Genomic DNA, 18,179 nt, shown 5'->3' on the forward strand with positions numbered 1-18,179 from the left:
CTTCGGTGCCCTGCCTGTGGGACACTTTGGATTCCCACAGATCATGCTTGCTAGAACTTGAGCTGACTCTGTGAATGGCCAGCTTTTTCCTACCAGCTTGAACCCGCTTTGGCCACCAGCGTGTGGAGTGCCTTTTCCAAGAGGTGGGATTAGCTGTGATCCTTCTGCCTGCCCCACCCTATTGTAAGCAAATGGACAAGGTCCTGAAGGGAGGCAGGACTGTGGCCCATCTACCTGCTTTGAATAAATGTCCATGAGGCTTCTTTAGTTGTAAATGCTTAGAACAGGGTTTCTCAGCCACAGCATTATTGACATTTTGGGCTGGACAATTCTTTGTGGTGAATTGTCTCGTACATTCTTGGATATTTTGCAGCACCCTTAGCCTCTGTGTACTAGATACTAGTTGCAACCCCAAGCTGGGACAACCAAAAATGTCTCCAGACATTGCCAAGATCCCTTTGGGGGTAAAATTGTCTCCAATTAAGAACCACTGCCTGGCCAAGTGCGGTGGCTCACACCTGTAATCCCAGCACTTTGGGAGGCAAAGGCAGGTGGATCACGAGGTCAGGAGATTGAGACCATCCTGGCTAACATGGTGAAACCCCAACTCTACTACAAATACAAAAAAATAGTCGGACATGGTGGCACGTGCCTGTAATCCCAGCTACTCGGGAGGCTGAGGCAGAGGTTGCAGTGAGCCGAGATTGCGCCGCCACTGCACTCCAGCTGGGTGACAGAGCAAGACTCCATCTAAAAAAAAAAAAAAAAAAAAAAAAAAAAAGGAGAGAGAATGTGGGATAGCAAAGCAAACTGATGATGAGTGTGACCCAAAGCTCATGCACCTTTGCATGTGGCAGCCAATCTATCCTTTGTTTGCTTAAATATTTTGAGTTGAGTTTCTGTCCTTTGCAACCAAAAGAGTACTAATGAATATATCTAGGCTACATAGCACCTAGCACTGTGCTAAAACGTAGTAGTGACAATATAAAGTAAATATTGTTATTAATTATTTAGTTGATAACTATTTGTGTGCCTCGCATAACATAATGCTGATTGTGAAGTGATGAGAACAGCCATAACATACTAGAAGGCTCAGATTCCAGTCTGACCTCATCACCTACATGTGATCTTGGCTAAGTTACTAATCCTGTCTGAGCTTGTTTCCCTTATCTGTAAGAAGATAGAATTGGAACAGATCAGTCATTGCAAATTGGTGGTCAGGGAATGGATCCAGACCTTCTTTTGGTGTTTCATTTAGCCCTCACAGTATTTTACAATACATAAAATGTCATGAGAAAATTCAGATGTCCAACTTCTTTAGGAAAATTGGGAGGTCAGCAACATTGGGCCCCTATTACCACATGGCAATGACAAACAGGTTTTAGAAGGGGCATGTACTCTCTGAGCCACCCGAGACCCCACCTCCCTCTTCCCCTTATTTTATGCTTGCCTGCCTCACTCAGCCCACAACCTGCTGACTGCAAAAGCATTTGAGTTTGTGTTTTTGAGGCCATGTTCTTTCACCTCTGATATTTTCTGAGATGGCAGAACACACCCTTCATGAACAGGAGACCAAAAGGCAAGAGGGTCAAGGGAGACAGATTGAGCCCAAGAGGGAAAACAGCCACCCAGGAAAGCAATCTGTTATTCTAACCTCTGCAGGGCCACTGGCAGGTCCTCAGGCCTGAGACACAGCAGCAGTCAGGGGGTAGAGAGACAAACAAGCCAAGATTGTCTTTCTTTGCTTTTCAGCCAGACAAAGAAAATCCCTCTCTGCGTAAAGCCTCCTCCGCAGGCTTTGATGTCTCTCTTCCCAGCAGAGGCGCCACTTCAGACAAGAGAGGCAGGCAGGGGCAGAGAGCTGAGAACAAAGCGGCGTTTCCTGGGCTGCTAATTATTCTCCTTCTGTGTAAATAATTATCTGGAAGAGAAAAAAACAGTCCACAGCTAAAGAGCTAGAAAAGCAAAAGGAGGATGAAAGGAGGCTGGGGATTTGATGTGTCCCCGGGAGCAGTCCTTGAAGGGGAAGGGAGTCACAGCAAAATCCTTCTTACTTCCTGTGTTTTAAACACCTAGTCTGGGACTTTCAAAGCCCCTGGCACTGGTGCTGTAATTAAATCGTGGTTTGGGAAGCCAGCGTGCGGGTGATCTGACAGTTTCTGTCTCTGGATCCTGTTGGACTCTGCTGGAATAGAGACAGGAAGTCTTAGAAATTAAGGCTCTGGAGTCAATTGGGCCCCAGTTTGAACCTGGGTCTACTGCTTATTAGAAACAGGATCGGGGACAAGTTCCTTATTATAAATAAGATGGGGGACAAGTTCCTTCTTCCCACCTAGGGCCCGTGCAAAAGCAGTGTCTTCTACTTGGAAGACTTCCCCATCTCTCCAAATCTGTGTGCAGTTGATACTTACACATCTACAGTGAACGCTGCTGGTGCCCTGCCACAGCCCCTTGCACTTACCATTTCTGTGCATGCCCACCCAACTATCAACTGCCAGCAGCCCTTTCCAGCACCCTTGGAATGTTTCTCCTGGGCACTTGAACCCTGGCTGCTCTTGCACAAAGCACACCAGGATTAATGCTCTCTGGAAGCATCCCTTAACCAGTGACCGATGAGAATTAGGAGAGAACAACTCTGACCCTCTCATCCCTTAAGTGACGGGAGTTGGAGGCTGCAGTATGCTCTACAGAGCCTCCCAGATTTTCCAGATGGGAACTCTAGTTCCCTAGAATGGTTCCTGGCTGGATAATGCACCTTCTATTGGTTCTTTCCTATCCCTGTCTCATCTCTTCTCTCCTCTACAAGTGCTTCCCTGGATCATCTCCTGAATCAGCTACTTTTATTCAAATCTTTGTTTCAGGGTCAGATTCTGGAGAACTCAAACTAAGGCAGCAGCCTTCAACTCTCAGCTCAAATGTCATTTCCTGGGGGAAGAACTCCATCAACATCTTGGACCCAATCAGGAGTTTGAGTTAAATCGGAGTGATGCCCCCTCTATATTTTGCTCACAGCACTCATGCATTTGTAATTTTATTTTTATGCATCTCTTTATTTTATTAATATCTGTCTCCTCCAGCCAAATATAAACTTCAAGAGGAGTGTGCCCGTTTTATTTATTGCATTGTCAGATCCTGGTATAGAGCCTAACACATAAGAAGTGCTCAATAAAAACCTGGTGAGCCTGTTTCCTCTTATGTAACATAGAGACCCAAAACAATTTCTATTGCATGGGGAAGGATGTGTGGATTAAATAGTTCATAATCTATACAAAGTGATTAACTTATAAATTGATACAGTGTCTGGAACACAGGGAGTATTCAAAAAGCTAACATTCTCTGCAACCTTAACTGTTTCCTCCTGTCTTACCCACCACCGGTATCACATACAAAATTTAATTGTTCCTAAAATACTGTGAGCTTGGAATGAGTATCCTTGGGTCACAAATGAAGAGAATAAGCCTCAGAAAAGTGAAGTAACTTGTCTAGAGTCACACAGCATTCCAAGGGAATGGCCAAGATTCCAAACTGGCTCGTTCTGACCCCAAATTCTCCCCACTTCAGGCTCATCTGAGCCTGGATTGAAGGCAGAAGGGGGTGGTGTCAGGGAGGCCCATTAGTAGTTGAATCAGTTTTGGAGAGAAACAAAGGGTTGAACCATAGAAGACTCAAATGGTCAGAGAAGCAGGTTGGGGAGAGGAGGCAAACATTCCCAGTGTCAGAGAAGTTTGGTGAGTCTTCGTCATTTTTGCCCTAGGGGCACAGGGACATTTGAGTTTCTCCCTTGAGGCATGGGAAAGACGGGTAAGTGGGTATTGGAGCCGCTGGGCCTGGCAGAGGAAATAAGCTGAGTCACAGGACTTACTCCACTCCTATCACCTCATCTCTGCCTGACATTGGGGCCATTCATCAGCAGGACATTCAAAGACAAACAGGAAGGGCATTTAGAAGAAAGAATGAGAATCAGGACACCTCCAATTACCCAGCCATTTACAAAGATTCTTTGCAACCAGGGGCTTGTCTACCTGGTGGGCAGAGGAAGAAAACTTTGCATTTGGCTGTTTGGATACTCCCAAGTAACACATCCAGGTAAGCACGACATATTATCGTCTTATCTGTGAACTGAGGGAGCCGGATCCCAACGAGCTGTTCCGGAGTCTCTAATCAGCACCAGATAACCAGAGCTCCTAGCTTTGTGAGGGTCGGGAGGATTTCCTCCCCTCTTACAAGATCAAAAGACAGAAGATATTCAATATTCAGCCCAATATTGCATTGCTGTCAATTTTGGATGGCATAGGCGTTGTGCTGTGGATGTTCCAAGCCCCAGTTGCATGGGGCTCTTCCAGATATCTCTAATAAGCCTCTGTGGTCCCCATCCATCAACGGCAATAGGAGAAGGTGACAGGATAGACCTCAAGGGGAATTGTGGGCTGAGCAGCAAGAGTTATTGATGAAGGTGCAGAATTAGCACAGGCCCCAGATGAGCCTGGAGGTGAAGATGAAGCCAGTTTATTTTTTCTGTGTTGGGTAAGGCAAAAGCAGGTTTGTGGGGATAGGGTTGCTAACCTTAACCTTAATCCTAACCCCAGTTAAATTTGAATTTTAGATTTAAAAAGCCAAAAAAATAATTTTTAGCACAAGTATGCTCCGTGCCATATTTGGTTTGGATATTCGACCCCTCCAAACCTCATGTTGAAATCTGATCCCCAGTGTTGGAGGTGTTTAGGTCACAGGGGCTGATCTCTCATGAACAGATTAACAACTTCTGGGGGAGTGGGGTATGTAAGTGTGAGCTGTCGCTCGTTATTTCCTGCAAGAGCTGGTTGTTTAAAAGAGCCTAACACATCCCCCCTCTCTTTCTTTTTCCTCCTCTCTCACCATGGGATTGCTGTTCAAGCAGGATCCCCTTTATCTTCTGCCATGAGTGGAAGCAGCTTGAGGCCCTTACCAGAGGCAGATGCCAGTGCCATGCTTTTTGTACAGCCTGCAGAGCCAGGAGCCAAATAAATCTCTTTCCTTTATAAATTACCCAGCCTTAGGTATTGCTTTATGGCAACACAAACAGACTAAGACACTTATACTAAAATATTATTCATTGCTTGTCTGAAATTCAAATTTATCTGGACATCTTATTTTTATTTGCTAAATCTGGCAACCCTAGCTGGGGCTTGGTGGAAATTTAACGTAGGGGCTGAAGACCTGTGGCCTGCAGGTGGGAATGTTTTAGTTTGACCAGCACAGCGCTTAAAAATAAGAACATTTCACATAAAATTCAGACTTCCACCTTCCCTTGATATCTAGTCACACTTCCCCCTTTTTGCTAGCAGTTCATTCCCATCTCCACCCCTACTGGCCCACATGGCCAGTAAATAAAGAGATGCATAAAAATAAATGCTCATTTATTGTTACCTGCTAGGCCTATGAATCATTTGAGTTTTAGACCCATTGGCTTGCCTCGGGGTACACAGGGAGAGACCCTGGTTTACTCACGGCAATGACAAACCCTCCAGATCAAGAGTCATTGTGTGGAGACCCCGTTTCATCATGTTGTAGCTCTAGTCTCCCTCTAGGTGGTTCTTTACTTTCCCATCTGTAAAAATGGAGATAGATTTTGCCCTCCCTCATTCTGGAATGGATGAAGAGGAATGCAGATAAGAGCATAAAAGTTCTCTGATAAAGTGATCTTGATAATGGCTTTCTCCAGATGTCCATTCATGAGGCTTCCACCCTGTAGTCAGCATAATCTATCCAAAATATGCATCTTTCCATGCTTGCTTGCAAAATAAAATCCAAACTCCCTCAAGTGGCATGCAAGTTTCAGTGGTTTGGCTTACCCCATCTCATCTCCAAAACTGTCTACCCCAACTGCTTCCAGGCAGCACCTCAGATGCTGAATTTCTCAGTTGCTCAAACTCATTCTGCACCCTCACACTCCTGGGCCTTTGGGTATGATACTCTCTGCACATAGAATATGCTCCCTGCCCATCTTAGTGATTGCAATTTCAGTGCCATCCCTTCCCATTTTACATTTTGTTAGGATATAGCTGTCCCTGATACATATCCCACAATACTCTTCTTCTCCAGCAAAGACATTTCTCCTGCAGGTTCCAGCTAGGGTCTAAATGTCAAAAAACAACTTTAGCTCATTTGAATCAGAACAAGGAGTTATTGGAAGAAACCACCAGGCTTCTGAAAGGGCATGGACCAGTCAAGCTTTAGGGACCATAAAAGCAGGAGTTGGCAAATGGTCTCTCTACGACATTGCCATGGGTGACACAGTCTCAACTACTTTCTGTCCCTTGGTGGCCAATAGAATGTCATTGGCCAGGCTTGGCTTATATGCAAGTGTCCATGGTCATCTGCGATTGACAGTCTTAGCAGAGAATTTCTTGGGTGGATGGTGGTGCAGTTCTCCAAAGAGAAGGAGGGGATACTGTTATCCCAGAAACAGGGAAAGGGCACAGGTAGAAAAAACCAACAGGTTTCCTGTCCTGCACAGTCTTATATTGTCACTGCTTTGGTTTTTTTCTTTGTTCTTCCAAAGATTGCCCATTTCTTGAGTTCAGAACTTTCTGTTCTCTACATCTAGCCTTGTGGTCCCAGAAACTGAATAGAAGCTTCAAAAAGATTTGTAGAATGAGCAAAAGTGTTCCGAAAGGGAGTCTTTGCAGAAAAGAATTAAAACAGCAAGGCTGAGGATGTAATCTTTTAAAGGCCTGTTTGCAAGTTGCTCCTTAGCTGGCATCTGGGAACTTGGCTTTTAAAATGTCTCCTCCATTCCCTAACTGATAAGGTTGATTCTTTGTGCCTTGACTGTTTATAGAAACAATGTAATTTATGGTGAACACCTGCTTTCTTTCTGAGAGTCTGGAATTTTGGTTGTTGCTAGACAGAAAAATCGATATGAGCAGCCCCTAAAAACCACTCTAAACTCTAAATCTCAAACTGGCTACACTGGGCATTATAAATATTACAAATGAATTCCTGCATTATTGCTACTGGAAACAGTGTTCTGTGTGATCTTCCATAGGAGGAACAGAACATAGGAAGCCTGCACATGGCTTCCAGACCCTTATCTGTGTCTTTTCCTTTACTGGGTTGATTGTGAATCCTTATAGTGTTGCCTTAGCCATGAGTACAACTGCATGCTAAGTCCTGTGAGTGCTTCTAGTAAATCAGTGGATGGTCTTGAGAACCACACCCCCCGCCAACCCAAGCAGGACCAAATCTTTAAAGCACAGTCTACGATTTCCAAGGCACTTTACAATATTATTGCATTGATCTTCTTAACCACCCCCCCTCCATTGAGAGACATCCTGTTCTCATTTTAGGGATTAGAACACTAAGGCTCAGAGAGGTGAAGTGGTTTAGTCAAGGATGCAAAGCTGGTAAATGGAAGGATGGGTTATGAACCTAGGCTGTCCCATTTCAATGTCACACTATGGTAGCTTCCATTATAGAGAGGAGAGACTGTCCCTGTCATGATAACCCTTTAGTGTCCAAGACAACTTCGCTCTGTGAGCTTAGAAATCTGGAGTGTTCTTTTAGGAACAGTCAGTGGAATGAGTCAGTGACTTCTTTTTTGTCAGTAGCAGAGCTGATATTGGCACCTATGCCCATTATTTGACTCTGGGGCCCCTAAGTTCAAAAACATTACACTATTTTGACCATGTGACCTCTGATATCTTACTCATTTTCTCCAAGCATTCATCACTTCATTTGTAAAAAGGAATTAAGAACTATCTAATTGATTATGAAAAGAACACAACCCTCCCCTATGAAGCACCTAGTAGTGAGCCACCAAATGTTGGTTCCCTTCTCTTTCACTCCACCCCTTATTCACTGTGTGGGCCTGTGTGAGTCCTACCATTACCTCCATCTGTTTCCCCATCTGTAAAATGAGGGGGATGATTTTGACGCTCCCAGAGTCCTTCTGGGGCTGGCATCGTATATCAAAGAACAAGCGTTTTTCTGGTGAAGTCTTTTAAAATCCTGCCAGCTCTGATCATGAGAGGCAGATCAAACCCACCTTCTGCCCACTTAAGAAAAAGGCTGTGTGTAAGTTGCACAAAGGTGGTGAGGCAAAAACATGCTCCAGCCTTTCCCAGACACTGATCCAGAGAAAGACATGTCAGAGTGTTGAAAAGTTCTTTGTTTAACTAAGGCACAGGCAGAGGGAAAAGGAACAGTAGAGAATTTATAGATGGGGCTGTATCTTCTATATCCAGGGTTATCAATCTAAATCATTATAGAGTTCAGTGGATAATTTTTATAGAGCTTTGCGGAGAACAGTACAAAGACCAGGTCAATAGGGAGTGGTGGGGACTGTGGAAAACTACAGGACCTATGCTAGCCTTGGAGAGAGCATCCCAGCTCCAACTGATTGCTGCCAAGTGGGAATGCAAGCATGGTGTTGCCAGACTATCTCTTTCTCTCTTCATGTTTAAGAAGTCAGAGTTTTGAAGTACGCTATCTCAATTTGTAAGTGTTGCCTTGAGTTTTCTTCTCAAAGATCTTTGTGGGTCCAATATAACTCTTTGCATTTCCAATCTTGCCTATAGGCTATTTGTTTGCAATCTCAGAGCTACCAGGGCTTATTTGCAGCATCTTTGTCATTGAATCCTGAAGAATTTGTGACCAGAGGTTACCTTCACATCCTCCAAGATGGCCAGCTTCAGACATGGGAGAATGATTTTCTGGAAGAGCCAGCATCATTTAACTTTAAGCTATTCTTAAAGTTTACTGCTGTAAAGCTTACCTCTTTAGCAACTCCTCCTTGCCCCAGGACAAAGTTCTGACTTATTATTTCCTGGCGTGGATTTTACCTTTGATTACCCCTATATCTTTGTTCAGGTGCATCTCTCATCAATATAAAATCTTATGGGAAACCTCCTAGTTGGCCTTCAAAATGCAGCTCTCATGTTTATTCCTCTGTGAAACTTTTACTAATCATCACCCTCCTCTCCTGAGGTTTAGCTTCCTGCCTCACCTCTGTGTATCAACCACACCACTCTCTATGTTCATATCATGCATTAGTCAGGGTCCCAATTGAGAACAAATGCCACACTCAAACTAGACACCATAAGGAGACTTTAATTAAGAGACTGTTTACAATGGAGTGTGCATTACAATGGGCAGGGTTAAAGGAAACTGACAAAGCATAGTACAGCACCTGGGACCAGCAATACTGGAGAGCTGTTACTACCTCTAGTCCTGAAGCTGCAAAGGGAGGAAGAGCAATTATAACATTCACAGAGGCTAGAAGTATAGACAAGATTCCCTGGCAGGAGCCTTGAAAAAGGGACACACCCACACTGTAGTGACCTGTCAAGGAGGGAGCCAAGAGAATAAAATCTCAACCTCACTTCTCTCTGACTCTCCAGTATCTTGCTGCTGCCTTTCATTGGCTGGAAACAACAGGCAGCAAAAAGACAAGGAAGTCTGCTGACATGGTCCATATGGATCAGGGTCTGGAGGCCAGAGCAGGGTGGAAAAGGGTAAAAAGGCAAACAAAAGAAGCCCAATATCCACCATTCTCTGCATAGGTCTCTGTTATGGCACTTGCTGTTTAGTGCCAGGTCCCCTAGAGGCTGGGAAATGCTGGTGAACAGAGAATTAGTTTGTTTATATCTGCACCCTCAAAATCTGGCATATAGTATGTGATCGATAAATGGTTATAAGAATTACCAGGTACATCATACAGCACCTGGTAAAATAGAAAGATTAGGGATTCTTTTTAGATTATCCACAGGCATGAAGCAATCATGAACTTCTTCCTTTCATGCAATATTTTATCAGCACCACTGTGTGAGGTATTATTCCTGCCATCCAGGAGCTCTTTATCTCAAACTAGAAACTCCTAGAGCAAGGAAAGCAGTTATGCATCCTCTATTTCACATTTCCCCAGTGTGGATACTGTAGGTCACTGGTTTGATGTGATGCTCAGAGATGTCACATCAGAGTCCATTGTCAAGTGTAAAGTCTGTAGATTAAGCAAATGTCTTCTCTACAGAACTTGTCAGAGCCTTTAATGTGCCAAAGCATCATACGAAGCACCTAAAGGGGGCCACAGTAAGCAGCCTTTCCTAAATTTATTTTGTCATAAAATTATTTCCCCCCGAGCATCTTGTAAATCAGTAAGTTGGAATATGCTTTGGAAAATACTGCCCTTCTTTAACCAGTTCATTTTACAGATGAGAAAACTAAAGCTCCAAAGTAGTTATCACCAATCAATCTGGCAGGGAGCACAATTTGCATACAGAACCAAATGTCGAAGTTGCTTTCATTGAGTAGCCACTCATTGCCTTTGATTCTTTCTCCAAACTATTATCAATTCTTTCTCAATGGATACCTCTCCCAAACCTTGACTAGGAATGAACAGGAAGTAGCCAATGGCTCTTTTCCTGCTAAACCCTCATGGGCCCCTGTGTGACAGGTGTGACCCATTGTGAGATGTTGTCACCATGATGACACAGAAGCTTGTTGGGTCATATATGGAGAGAAGATGACACTGAGTGTGGGTGGGATGATGGTAGTTGAGTACTGCTCTCCTCTGTGGTGACAATTCACTTCGTCTCCTGAAAAAGTCCCATGCCATCAGCACTGGGCAGGGAAATTCCACTCTCAACAGGGTAGCCAGAATGATTGTTTGAAACAAGAAGTCTGATGATAGCTCTCCAATGCTGAAAACTCTAGCAACTCCTTGTTGCCCCAGGACAAAGTTCTGGTTTATTATTTCCTAGTATAAATTTTACCTTTGATTTTTCTTTGAGATGGGGTCTCCCTCTGTTGCCCAGGCTGGAGCGCAGTGGCACAATCTCGGCTCCCTGCAGCCTTGACCTCCCCAGGCTCAAGTGATCCTCCCACCTCAGCTTCCTGAGTAACTGGAACTACAGGCATGCGCCACCATGCCCAGCTAATTTTTTGTATTCTTTGTAGAGACAGCATTGCACCATATTGCCCAGACTGGTCTCAAACTCCTGGGCTCAAACAGTCCATCCACTTTGGCTTCCCAAAGTGCTAGGATTGCAGGCATGAGCATAAATTTTACCTTTCTCTTTGGCCTCATCTGGTGCCACCAACTGCTTCTTTGACCCTCTCCACCCACCCTACACACTACCTTCTAGGCAATATACACAGCATCCAGCTCCTCAGACTCACCACCCTGTAGATCATGTGCAGACCTTTGCATGAACTGTTCTCTCCAGCTAGCGCTCCCTCTTGCCATTCTATTTGTCTGACCAGCCTCCATACTAAGAGGCAGTGTGGTGGCTGATTAGTCCATGGGCTCTGAAGCCTAAGAGTCTAAGTTCAAACTCCAACTTTGCCACTTCTTAGCTGTGCAGCCTTGGGCAAATGACTTAACCTGTGTGGGCCTCAGTTTCCTCATCTCTAAGATGAGGATAATGATAATACTACCTGCCTCAAAAAATGTTTTAAAAAGTTAAATGAGATAATTCTTTACCCATCATATAGTAAGTGCTCACAAAAATGATAATTTTAATTCTATTTCTTTATGGTTTAGTTTAGATACCCAGCCTCTGGGAAAGCTTCTCTGACTCCTCTTAAAATATACATACATGCACATGCAAGCACATACATGAACACATATGCACACACACCTGCACTTACACATACATGCATTCACACATGCACACACACACACACACACAGCCCTCCCCACATCTCCCCCAAGGCATCTGTGCTTCCTCCAACCCTGCTGCCAATATTATTCTAACTTACTTTTCTATATCTCTGCTTCCTTAGACATCAGCTCTAGGCACGTAGGAACTACATTGCATCTCCAGCACCCAGATCAGTACTGGACTCACAGTAGGGGCATTTGACCCATCCTGGACAATTCTTCTTACTTACTTTTGTGTTAGGACAGAAAAAGCCAGTGTCAGAGTAGACAACTGAGTCCCAGCCTCAGGAAAAGGAAAGGATGTGCGCAAAGTCACATAGCTGGTTCACGGCAAAGCCGCAATTGAGCCAAAACTCTCAAGTGTCGTTTGGTATATCCTCAGTTCCTGCTGAGGCTATACAAAGAGACCCCAGTTTCCAGTACTGCTGATGCCTCGAGATTTGCATGCTCTGTCTAATTTGTGAAGGAGGTAAAGAAGAGCCTACTTCGCTTTTTTTTTTTTCTCAATTCCCTAAGCAGGCATCCTATTTCTCGAAAGAAAATGGATTCTAGTTACTTTTCAGTATAGCACCAATGGTCTTCTTGTTGAATTACAGCCACTGATGACTTCCTTTAAAGAGCGAGTACCCAGTTCAGGAAAATGTATTACTCAGGTAAAATGACTCCCTGGGGTGATGAGGGTGTGATTCAGGAGAGCCCTCCCACTTAGATGTCCTCAAATGAAATGCGGAGTGCATGTCTCTGTTTCAGCTTTGAACTGTGTCTTTCAGGCATCCTGGGTTTGAACTGGGTCGCCAACATCCTCCCTGGGAGCAGCTGCAGGGGTTTCTGAAAGGATGACCTCTTTTTAGCACAGAGATTATTCAAGGTGCTTAGAAACAGTGGGATGAGTTCAGAAATCAGTTCTTGCTACTTCTTTACCTAGGGAAACCAAGGCTGGGAGATGGAAAGCAATTGGTATGGGGTTGCTAAGCAGAACAACAACAGAGCCAACTGTCATCTGCCCACCTTTCCACAGCACCTGGAGACTGTCATGGCTATTTCTGTATATCCACTGGTAGACAAAGCAGTTAGATTGCAATAGATTTGGGATAATCACACAAAAAATGACAGAGCGCTCACTTAGTGGTTAAGCTCCTTCATGACACCCTTCATGGCTCACAACACAAAAATTAGAATACAGAAGATAAATATGTTAGCTAAGGTTTCTTGACCACTGACTAGATACCAAGAGCTCTCCTAAATGTTTTATATTCATGTCCTCATTTACTACTCCCAATGGCCCATTGAGGTGGCCAGCACCCTTTTACAGATGGGGAAACTGGGGATGGCAGAGGTTACAAGATTTGCCCAAGGTCACATTGCTGAGATGTGACAGAGTCAAGACATAACCCTGCTTTTCTAATGCAGAGCTTGTGCTCTACACTATTTGGTTATCCTGTCCCTTGTTCCACAAATATTTAGCGAGGACCAGTCTGTACAAGAAGCTGTTTTGGGTGCTAAAAAGTCAAGGATGAATGAGATACAGACCCCACCTTCAAGAAGCACATTGTCATTTGGGAAAGAAATACATATAAACAGATAATTGCTAAGTTATCTGTGATCAGAGCTAAACAAGGGAACTATACACTTTTGGGTTTACTTTTTCAAAGTGCTTATATCATTCAATCTATGATTACATGTGGACACACACATACGTACACACACACACACACACACACACACACTCCACCAAAGAAACCAAGGTAGGTATTATCTGCATTTGACAGATACAGATGCTGAAGCCCAGAAAAGATAGAGAACTGGCTCAGGTAACAGACAAAATTGGTATCATGCCCAAGTCTCCAGCTTCTAGCTTGGGTTCTTTCTCCACCAGACCACCAGGAGCATCCAAACAGCCTCCTGGTGGCCAGAACCAGTCCAAATGCTGAACATTAATAAGAGATGCTACAGAGAGAGACTGCTCCATTTATATTGTTCATCTGTGAATCCTCCTTAGTTTCACTGAGAAGGACATCAAAGAAGAGAATTCTGGATTCAGTAGAGGTTGAGTTAAGTCATTGGAAGACCTTGTTGGGGTCCTTTGATCTTAGTCTAAGACATTTAGAACAAGGGCTTGTTTGGGCTTATTTGAAGGGATTCACTCTTCTTGGTCTTCATGTTTTGGCCCTGAAATCCATCAGATGGAATTTTTGGATTTGTAATCTTAATGGTCTAACCCATGAGTTTGCCAACATGTTTTGTAATTTTCACCCTTTCCTTCATATCTTCCTCCCAGCCCCATCCTCCCTCAAGCATATGCCTGTTTCCTGAATAATGAAGGATACCTTATACTCTGCAGCTTTAATCTTACCGCTATTTCTTGAGAAAATGAGTTTTGGCCTTTATTAACTGCTCAGTAACTGGGCACATATTTCCCACTGTGATCAGAACAAAAAACTAGCCTTGAAGATAAACAAGAAGAGTGTAGACTGGGGGGATGTCTTGCGGAATTATAAAGTGAGTAAGGAGGCATTCAGACTCCCCCTGAAGATGCTATTTAATTTGTGGTAAGGCTGATAGTGGTTATGCTAGAATGAACATTAGGGGAATGTTGCTCTGTGACTTAAGTGCTTAACTCTTTAAGAATGCCCATCACTGTCCAAGGTACTGACCGAGATATTGCAGAGTTCAAATTGTTGATAATTTCCAAGGCCTTTCACATTCCAGGTAGGGCATAGAACAATGTCCTGGCCTGAGAGTGGGTGTAAGTGTTCATGGCTGAAAACGCAGAAGAAGATATGAATTGAGATTGCAAGCCTGTTATTGATTCCGGTGACATTGGGCAACTCTCTCAACCTCTCAAAACTCTGTTCTGTCTATGAAGGAAAATGTGCTACCCACTCCACAGGGATAGTCAAAAGATGCAATATCATTAAATATATTTCAAAGCCTGGTTTTGTGCCCTAAAAATGTGATGATGATGATGATGATGATGATGATTATGACGACGATGATGACAGCATAAAACTTTCAATAATATTGAGGGTTGTGTGCCTGCCAAAGTTCTAATGGCTTCACAAGTATGAATTCACTTAGTTGTCATAAAATTTCTTTATATTATTTGGAGATATTATTATGCTCATTTTATAGATAAGGTACCCACAACACAGAGAGATTAAATCATTTTCCCAGACTCACCCAGTTAATGGAGTACATCCCAAACACATTGTGTATAGTTATTATCGTGAAAAAAATAAAAGATCATAAACACATATTTTGAATTCCCGCCTGGAGCCTCAGCACTGCCCAGAATGGGATCCTAGACTTTCATTCTCTCCAAAGGGGAGCTCCATGACTATTTCCCAAGACTAATCTCCATGTCAGACATGAGATTGTTCTGAAACAGTTGCCCTATCCTGTCACCTTCACAACTTGAAACCCTCAATGACAATCATCCTCATAAGACCATGTTCAAACACCTTAGCCTGGCATCCAGGACTACTCAACATAGGACTTTTCTCTTTAGATGCTTCCTTCTCTCCTCAGTTGACATTCAAGGCACCCCAAATTTCTCCCCACTCTCTGAACATGCCATGACTTTCCTACTGCACGGTCTTGATGTTGTTTCCTCATCAGGAATGCCCTCCCTTGCCTAACAGTATAACTCCTATTCAGCCTCAGGAAGTCTTCTTTGATTTTTTGCTTCCTCCCTTGTGCTTCTAGATCCTAACACTTTAACTATTGTTAGGAATGTCTGTCCTTTTTCCCTCAGAATTTCCCACTCAGAGAAATTCTAAGGCCAGGCATACCTTATTTATCTCTCTATCCAGAAAACTTAACTCAGGGATTGTCATTTACATGTATGTATGTTTACAAACATATGTACATTTGTTTATATGAAAGGATGAATGTGGCTCTTCCCAGAAGGAAAAGAAGGGAGGTGTTAGAGACTTTTCTTTATGAAAAAGATTAAAAATAGCACCATAGTTTCAGATTTAAAAGGCTGTGCTTAGCAGTTGATATCTCAGCACAGAACAACAGAAAGCTCTAGAGCTTGAAAGCTGGTAGTTTCAAGTTGAACGTCTTTCTCTGCATATGCCAGCTGTGACCTGGGAAAGCCTCTTCCCATCTCTCAGCCTCAGTTTCCTGGTCCGTAAAACCAAGACGATCATATTCTACTTGGTGGGATCTCTGCAGAGAGCAAATGGGAAATTGGAATCAACTCATGTTTCTAACAATAGAAGAATAGATATAATGGAATATTATGCAGCTGTAAAAAATGAACAAACTACAGGCACACACATCAGAGGAGAATGGGTATAATGGAACATTATGCAGCTGTAAAAAGTGAATAAACTACAGCTACACACATTAATGGGGATGAATCTCAGAAACTTAATATTCATTCAAAGAGATAAATCCCATAAAAATCCAAAATATATAAGTCCATGTATATAAAGTTCAAGAACAATCAAAACTAATGCTATATTGAGAGACAGGAGAGCATAGCCATTATGGACTCTGGGGCCAAAAGTGGGTTCATGACTGAGTATTCCCTTTTTCTAGCTCAGTGACCCTAATGAGTTACCTAACCTCTCTGTACCTCAGTTTCTTCATTTAAAGAATGTCGAAGATAGCAGTGGTTCCTACCTCAAAGAGTTGTTGTGAGGATTAAATGAATTAATATATGTAAAATACTTAAAAGAGTACCTGGCACAGAACAAACACTATGTAAATGTTAGCCCTTATTATTATTTTTGACTAGTTGTTGTTATTACCTTTGTGATTACTATCATGATTTAGGAACATATACAAGATGGTTAAACTGTATGAAAAACAAGGGAATGATTAAAACAAAATTCAGGGTAGTGATATGTTTTAGAAGCTTCTAAATTATTAATAATGTTCTGTTTCATGAGCCAAATAGTGGGTGCACAGATATTTATGTTACTATTATTCCTTAACTGTATATATAGATTTTCACTACTTTTTTAGGTATGATATATTTCCCAGTAAAATTTCCTAAAGATTAAATGAAATTAATTATTGAAAAGGACCAACATCATTCTTTCCCCCCCTCCTGGCTAGAATCTCCCCTTTTCTGCAGGCCTTTGGATGATGTATTTTCCTTCACAAAAAGAGCCTCAACCTTCTGGAGGGGAACTGATCTGTTCAGCAGGCTCCCCCATTCATCATCCCCCAAGAAGCGTGTTTTACATTCATCTGCAGATGAAGATAAAAGGGTGGTGTGTTGCCCTCTTTAAGATTGCTAGCAGGATAAGCGTGAAGAGGAAGGCTTTCATATTTTACCCTAGGCTTTCCAGCAGTTGCCTTCCCCAGAATTGAAGAAGCTTGGCTTGCTTCTCAAGTGCTTGTTGAGAAGCAAAATGCCCAGGGAAGAATAGAAGATTCTGAACTCCAGAACTGCAGCATCTCTAGGCTAGATTTTATCACCGATGACATCGCATTTTACTGGAGCAGCTTGATGTTCTAGAGATTTGCCCAGCATGCTTGGTGGCTGTTATTTCACTATGGCTTTTGAGCTCAAAGGCTTTAGAAAAATAATAATGGTAAGAATTTATTAAGCATTTTCTATGTACCAGACTCTGGGCCAAGCATTTTTTATGCATGGTTTTCTGTAATTCTCAAACAGCCTTATAAAGCACTCACAGTTATCTCCATTTTATTGCTATACAAACAAAAGGACAGACAGGTGAAGATATTTACCCAAGGTCACACAATGAGTGGGAGACAGAGCCAGGATTTGAATAAAAATTCTTCTTTACACTCATAATTTCATTTGAATCATCCAGCATTCTGGCAGAGGGGAACTATTCCCATCCATATTTAACAAATGAGTAAACTGAGTCCCCATGAGATGAAGTCACTGGCTAAGGAGACACAGCTAGGAGGTGCTAGGACTCCATGTGAGTCCCATCTGAAAGGCTGGAACACTCCTCACCTTGCCTTCCTTTTCCATTAGCAAGAAAGAATTTCCTATGAACACACACTCAAATCACACTACACTCAAAACAGTGCATGAGGAAAGATCATTACCTTGCATGTAGAGTTTGGGCAGAATTGCCTTGAAAGTCCCAGACCAGAAGAAGAATGGCATCAGCACCAGAGTGGGCAGAGAAGACATTAGAGGATGTGAAGTGGGGTCTGCAAAGGCCATGAGCAGGCACAGGACACTGGTCCAGAAGTGAGAAAATACACAAGAATTTCTGGGGAAAAAAATCATTTGGCAGGGACATGGCTAAGAGGTAGAGGTAATAGAGTAGAAGAAGTAAGCACAGGTCATGAGGGGCTATTTGCAAAATGTCCTTGAGTAGATATGATTCCTTAGTATCCAAATGCTGGGTACTGTAAGGCTGTAGTGGGTCCCATTTGCCCTCCACTCCCATCTTCCCATCCATCCATCCATCCATCTGTTTATTCATCTATCCACTCAGAATGTGAGCTCCTTATGAACAGAAACCTTACTCATTGTGGTTGCCACTGTATCCCTAGTAACTGGAAGAGAGCCCAGCACAAGATAGGCATTGAAGAACTA

General features: G+C 43.0%; 2 annotated features.

Annotated features, from left to right (window-relative positions):
• Window positions 1,158-1,963: an enhancer, noted in NCBI's record as "NANOG-H3K27ac hESC enhancer chr22:26462043-26462848 (GRCh37/hg19 assembly coordinates)". NCBI's record gives its function as "activates a minimal SCP1, AML or CMV promoter by ChIP-STARR-seq in naive and primed H9 embryonic stem cells {active_cell/tissue: H9 hESC(naive and primed)}" and the evidence as "EXISTENCE:reporter gene assay evidence [ECO:0000049][PMID:30033119]".
• Window positions 1,964-2,769: an enhancer, noted in NCBI's record as "NANOG-H3K27ac hESC enhancer chr22:26462849-26463654 (GRCh37/hg19 assembly coordinates)". NCBI's record gives its function as "activates a minimal SCP1, AML or CMV promoter by ChIP-STARR-seq in primed H9 embryonic stem cells {active_cell/tissue: H9 hESC(primed)}" and the evidence as "EXISTENCE:reporter gene assay evidence [ECO:0000049][PMID:30033119]".

The sequence above is a fragment of the Homo sapiens genome, chromosome 22 (genome assembly GCF_000001405.40).
Source record: "Homo sapiens chromosome 22, GRCh38.p14 Primary Assembly".
NCBI classification, from domain to species: Eukaryota; Metazoa; Chordata; class Mammalia; order Primates; family Hominidae; genus Homo; species Homo sapiens.